We start from the raw sequence: 6,924 nt of genomic DNA on the forward strand, positions 1-6,924 counted from the left end.
AAGTAGATAATTTTACTAAATATATATTTCACCTCAAAAAAGTGAATATGCACCAAGACATGTTACTGTACAATCTTAGAATTCTAGGAACAAAGACAAAATGCCAAAAAACTTCTGGAAGGAAAAACAAAATAAAAGGGAGCCAAAGGATTGCATAAACAAAAATTTAGAATGCTATGCAGCAACAAGTTTTCTACATTGAATTTTGTAACTGAATGATTTATCAATATAAATATAAACTACATTTGCTTCCTGGCTTGCAAAGGGCAAAAACAAACAACAACAGCAACAAAGACAAAAAAAAGTTCCCGTTCACTTATTTCCAGAAAGATACTGGCCAATGTACTGCAATAAAACAGATTGAGTATACAGGAAAACACTGACATATGTAAAGCAAGGAAGAGGGGACTCAAATATTTAGCGATGGGAGGGGGATTTCCCAAGATGATAATGAAGGACTTCCAGTCAGGGAAAGTACCACTTAAAGTATTAGCCTGAGGCACCAGGGAAAGTTGTTTTGAAAAACTGCCTAAGCAGGAAGCCATTGAAATTTTCAAGAAACTCAAGGAAGTTCTTTCCAATTTCAGCTGCAGCTGCGGGAAGACTGGTTTTATGGACACTACTGCTTTTTTTTTCACACAGACCCAAGCATCTGGCTACAACAACCTTCTCCAGTAAAATCTTCACCTTTTCGTCTGCCTTTTAAATCTACAGCAGTGTCTCTCACTAGCTAACTCTAATTTAAAACTGTAAGAGTAAATATATGTTGGGAATTGTAGGTGCTACATTCTCTTCTAAACTGCAGAAGAAAATGTTGAAGAGTTGGTGTTGATGCCAAGTTCTTAATGATCCAGCACTGATCTCTTCCAGGAAAAAATAATGTAATAAAAATTATGCTATATGGAAACAGTTAAAATATTTATTACAAAATTCATCCATTAAGCTTAGAAAACTAAGCCAATGAAAACATTAATGATTAACTCCAAAAAAATAAAATTTTCTCAAGAAATAAAAAATCTTGATAGTGTACTACAAGGCTTGGCTTAATTTTTATGTCAATGTATAATATAAACATTAAATTATGAGAATCAAATACTTATTTATAACTATATTTGAACAATGGGGAGGAAAATTATTATTTGTATGTTGGTTGGGGAAGGATGCAAGATAATACCCAAGTACTTATATTTTATTATAGATGCTAATAAATGATATGCAACATTTGAAGAAAAATAAGTTCCACTGGCACAAGATTACAGCAATTTCCTTGCCACTTATTGATCAACAGCCAAGCCATCTGCAACATGGTCTGGATCTCAGTCCCAGGAGGAGTCTTATTTAGGTGCTTCATCTACTGCCTCTTTTGTCTATTCTTTTTGTGTTATCTTCGCCAATTCTTCATTACTCTAATCTCAAATTATAGTTATTAATTCATATATTAGTTTCTCTGTGATGTTCAAATTACTTATTGTGTTTTGACTCCCTATTAGTCCTAACCCATGCAAACTTTAAAATTACTTTCTTAAAATATCATAAATATACAAAATTGAATGTCAGTTTTTAAACCAAATAAAAGTTAAGCCTCCCTAACTATATGAATGGACCCCTTCTCCCTTTTGGAGTTCAGGAAAAGCCAACCAGCATTAATATCAACATAGACCTTAAGTCTGATAAGAAATATTTGCAATCTATTCTCTCTGAAGACCTGCTACCTGGAGGTCTCATCTGCATGATGAAACCTTGGCCTCCACCACCCCTTATTATTACCCAGACATTTATTTATATTGATAATAACTCTTTTAACCAATTGCCAATCAGACAATTTTTAAATCCACCTATGACATGGAAGCCCCCTCCCTTTCTATTTGTTCCACCGTTTCAGATACAACCAATGTAAAGCTTACATGTATTGATTGATGTATTGTGTCTCCCTAAAATGTGTAAAAGCAAGCTGTACTCCAACCACCTTGGGCACATACCATCAAGACCTCCTGAGGCTGTGTGATGGGCACATCTTTAACCTTGGCAAAATAAACTTTTTAAATTGATTGAGACCCGTCTCAAATACTTTTGGGTTTACAAATTGGTAACCACAGAAGAATTCTGAGTAGAGGTGTCCCTGACTTTGAACAAATCTCCTATTGGTACTTGGTACCAGCTTGAGTTATCCTTACAGCTCAAACCAACAGGACAATTTGCTGAGGTATGGGAGCTCCCCCACCCCCAGAGAATTCCTGATCTTCCCAAATTTGGTTGAGATGAGAGGTTTATTTTGCTGTACAACTCCTTTTCTGGAGTTTTACTTGCTTCCAACAAGGAAGGCGAGTTTTTCTGCTTCCATGACAATGGAGAGCAAGTAACCCCTTTCTGGAGTTTCAGCTAATTTCCAACAGGGAAGGTGAGTTTGAGAGGTTTTTTTCTTCTTGCTTCTAAGATGGTAAAGCGCAGTCTTGAGCTGGGGCCCCATTCCTAGGTAAGTAGCTGAATTGGGGAGTTTTGTCTTAGAAATTGTCCTCAATGACTAAAAGTTAAAATTGCCAACCAACTGGTCTTAATTTATCTAATTACATTAGAGTGCTCATTAATCATATTGTTGGGTGTTTTTTTGTTGTTGTTGTTGTTCCAGTCTTTCTCTCATCGAATTTGACCAACGCTACCTGACTTGATCTAATCCGAGTGAGAATTTCGAATTATAGGGAACAAGACCTCTGAATTGGCTAAAATTCCTCACAGCTGCAACCGCAGCAGCAACAACAACAAAGACATGCATTTGGTTTCTGTTTGCTTCTTGTCTTAAAAACTTGTTCTTCTGTTTCCTTTTCTTCCACTTTATTCCTCCTTCCACCTTTGCCATCTTTGGTACCAAGGAAAATCTAGAGAAGGTTTCTAATGATTCAAACCCCTTAAATAACACAGAACAAAGGCACGACTCACTCCTTTTGGGGGTGTTCTTTTTAGTTTGTTGAGTTTCAAGAGTCATGGACAGATTCTTCTTGGGTCTACAGCCCTGCTTTCTTGTATTACATTACCTGACCTCTTTGACTTTTGGGTACCAGAGATTACCTTGTAATATGAGAAGATTTGACCTTGGCAAAAGAGAGTTAGGGGTGGCTGAGGACAGTCTAGATAAAGTGGTCTTAGCTGTGGGATCCTCCCCCCAGGAGGTTGTCGTTTAGGATCTTAATTCTAATTTGGAGGTGCATTCTATAGGATTTTCTCCATCACTTTTTCTCTCCAAATTAAGCTTGGTTGGCTTGTATGTGCATTTGCATGAGAAACTAAACTGTCATTTTTATAGTTAAATGAGAGACTGAGTTTCCTCAGCTCCAAAGAGGCAAGGCATTTTGCTCTTCTCGGCCAAAAGGTGTCCCTGAGTGACCAAGGGCCAACTGCAAATGTCTGGGGGGTTGACACCCCATGATATACAGCGGCCCTACAGGGAGCCCTAAACAAAATTAGCTTAAAAGGGAAATGCATATAGGAGCTGGGCGCTCAACATTTTGAGGATTTTTGAAGGTGCAATACTTCTATAGAGAGTAACTGAGACATGTAAGAGGACAGAAACAACTCAATGGTGACACCCTGTGGAGTCCCACCTACAACCAGCACATTTCAATCTACTACACTAAACCCTAGGTCACAGCTCAGTTCCTCCCTTTAGGGAAAAAGAAGGAGAAGGAGAAGACAAATAGTCTAAGAATGAGAAAACTCAAAAGGAATGGCTTCCTTTTGGGTACCCCGTTAGTCTTATGGCACCTATACTTGCAAGTGTTTGTGTAAAATGAGAAATTTCAAAGGCATGTCAGGTTTTTCTAGTACTCCAGCTGGTCTATATATTATAATCTGTTTTGCACATTTGAAACTGATGGGCAAATTACATCAAGAAAAAATTCAGAGCCCCAAAGTCCACCTGCAACTATAGAGTTCCTAAGTTCTCTATTTATTTTATTTTCTGCCTGCTTTACATCAGATGTTACTTTTCTATTGAGATAAAAACCAGTTTAGATACAACTTTTTTTTTTCCTTCCCAAACTGGTGAGTTTGTATGAATATCTCATAGCTATGGTTCTGAAGCAAAAGCTACAGGATCTTTGTTTATATGAGTGTGTATGTATGTTTTATGTGTACGTACACATATTTTGTTACGTGTTTTTGGCCACTAGGTACCAAATTGGCTTAAAGTTAAAGAGTATGCATAAATTAAATAAGAAGCCCAAATGCTTTTCAAGTTCATGTGACTTAAGTAAAATCCTTAATAAATAACTGCCTTTAAAAATATTAGTAAAGTAGTATTGGAAATGTCTTAAGATTGTCAGCATTTTTATTTTCATTAATTAATCAAGCAGTTTTATACTTATGGGCACAGAATACTATTATAAGCTTTCAAAATTTGCCAAAACACTTATACAATTATAACCCCATACCAAAACAGAATGATCTTTCCTTGTGTAAATTTTAATAAATAAAACTTTTTTTTTTGTTTAATGAAAACAGATAAATTCTGAGTTATGGGTAAAATATCTGTATTTTTAGCCTTAAGATTTTACTTAGGTGAACAACTGAAATTCATGGGCTTTAAAGATAGTTTACAGCAAAATAACTTTAAATGATAATATTCAGAGTTTTTATAAGTAATCTAGGTAAACTATTAAATAACCAGGTAAATGTACTAGAATAAATGCTTGTAAACAAACTTGTCAAATAATTTAGAATCTAAGGTTGTATTAAATAATAGATATTATTTCTGCCAGCTTTATATCTGATGTTACTTTTAATTAATATTTTTAATTAGTTAAATGGGTAATTACCAAATTAAAAATTATCGAAAAAACATTTTTTAAAATGTTTTTATTAAAAGGTGAATATTTTTTGTCTAATCCAAAGGTTATTTAAGTTATATATAAAACAAGGTGAAATGAACCAAGAAATAAGAGAGATATAAAGAAAGTTACAGATATGAAGAGGTATTTTTGGTAAGAAATCTTAAAAGAAAAGCAATATCATATAAGAAAAAATCTTGCATGATGAATTTTTGTCCTAAAATGAAATGATTCATTGTTCAAAAAAGAGGAATATTTAAGACAAACCAGAAAGTCCAAAAATGTTGTGAGTGGTCTGTGTAAGTCATAATAAGATTAGTAAAAAAGGAAATTATAAAAATGTTATATGATTAAGTTGGCTATAATTAAAGAAAATTATAGTAAATTGTTTTCCTAAAAATTAAAATTTGATATTAAAAATAGTCAAATGTAAAACTAAAAAATTGATTAGAAGATTTTATTAAAAATATTGAGTTACTCTTAGTGTGAGAAGTTTTTAATTTTTAAATTCTATAATGTTTCTTTTTGAAATTATTCAGATTAATATCTCAGAAACTGCAACCTGTTGCTTCAGTTCTTTCTCTCTTTTGCAAGGCCTGGGATGGTAACTCTTTCTTTCACCTTTTGTTGGTTCCTGTAACTTTTAAAATTAATTATCTAAAGTAAGGGAGAGAATTTTTGAAAATAAGCAAAAGAAAAATCTTTTGGATCTGCTCTTGTCTGTATGTCTGTTATATCTATATGTTTGTATGTGTCATGTGGAAGTGATATTTCACTACCAAACTATATGAAAGGGCTCTAATCAATTTGTTTAAAGAAAAGAAAGTGCCTATCAGTCTGATATAAGCTAGCTCAGATCCTTTTTAATTCACATGACCTTGGTAATCTTTGGTAAGCTTAATTTGGTAAATTTAGTCCCAAAATTATCTCTAGTAGTTTAAAATCTTAAAGTCATATTATGCTACATTACACAACCTCAATTTTTTTCACTGGGAATTTGGGTTACTAAGAGTTAAAATAATAGACAGTAAAAGGTGTTTTTGGTGAAGTTTGTAAAAACACAATGATGTGGTTTTGCTAAGGAAAATGTAATTTTTTTTTCTAGTTTGGAGACCATTTCAGAGTTGCTTTAAAATAAAGAAAAAGAAAGTATAAATAAAACTAAATGGGTAAAGAGAAAAATAAAAAGGCGGGTGATGAGAAAGCTTGATTATTGAGTGGCCACGTGTTTACCCATCTTAAAGAGCTGCAGCTGGGCTGCATTCAATTACTAAAGGTAAAAGCTATGGTGGAATTCAGAGACGAATCATACTCATAGTCCCAGGGCATTAGTTCACGGAACTAATTAATTACAGAAATGCAAATTAGTAAGAAAAAACAAAATATTTAATCTCTTGGTTATCGTTATCTGCAATAGCTAAATGAAAGTAAAAGAGTGCTGGGTTTGGCCTTAAGGCTGGGCCAAGCTCAGATGTGGGTCTGTCTCAGGTCAGGCCACTAGCCTGAAAGCTACACACAAAAGGAAAAATTAAGCCAGGGCAACAAAACTTACCTCTTAGACCTGTGGTTACCAATGAGTTAGTCAATGCAGGAGAAGGGCAAGACCAAGTAACTATTAAAACCAGAGTGTAAGGGAATTGTTCCATTTTGTAGATTGATATAATCAGTTTCCTGAGAAATCTTTACTATAGTGAATTGTAAAAATAACTACTTTAAGGACACAATCTTTAATTTTAAATGCTACAGAATGAAAGTGCTTGTTTAAGTTAATGCAAGACCCATAGCTTACTATTAAACAATTACTGATGAATATATGTAATCCAAATGCACAGGAGGTTATTCCTGAGAGAACGACCAGTCCAGTGACCCAGATAAATGCCACTGTAAGGTCTATTTACCCTAAGAAGGAAGCTGCCTAACTCTCCCTATAAATGCCAAGTAGAGCACCCCAGACGAAGCAGTTAATATGCTTCATATGAAAGCCCTGTGGGACTGGCTTTATTATGACCCACCCTGTTCATTCTCTAACATTAAAAGGCCCCACACCCATTTTCTGCATTTACCCCAAATTGGGGAAATTTAAGAAATATCAAAAGGCAAAGGT

General features: G+C 34.3%; 1 long non-coding RNA gene across 2 annotated transcripts in view; it reads right to left on the bottom strand.

The window, feature by feature from the left end:
* The window catches only part of MIR3171HG (MIR3171 host gene), a 351,396-nt gene that overhangs the window by 283,173 nt on the left and 61,299 nt on the right, over positions 1-6,924 (bottom strand). The gene's annotated exons all lie outside the window — the stretch shown is intronic.

Source organism: Homo sapiens, chromosome 14, assembly GCF_000001405.40.
Source record: "Homo sapiens chromosome 14, GRCh38.p14 Primary Assembly".
Lineage (NCBI taxonomy): Eukaryota > Metazoa > Chordata > Mammalia > Primates > Hominidae > Homo > Homo sapiens.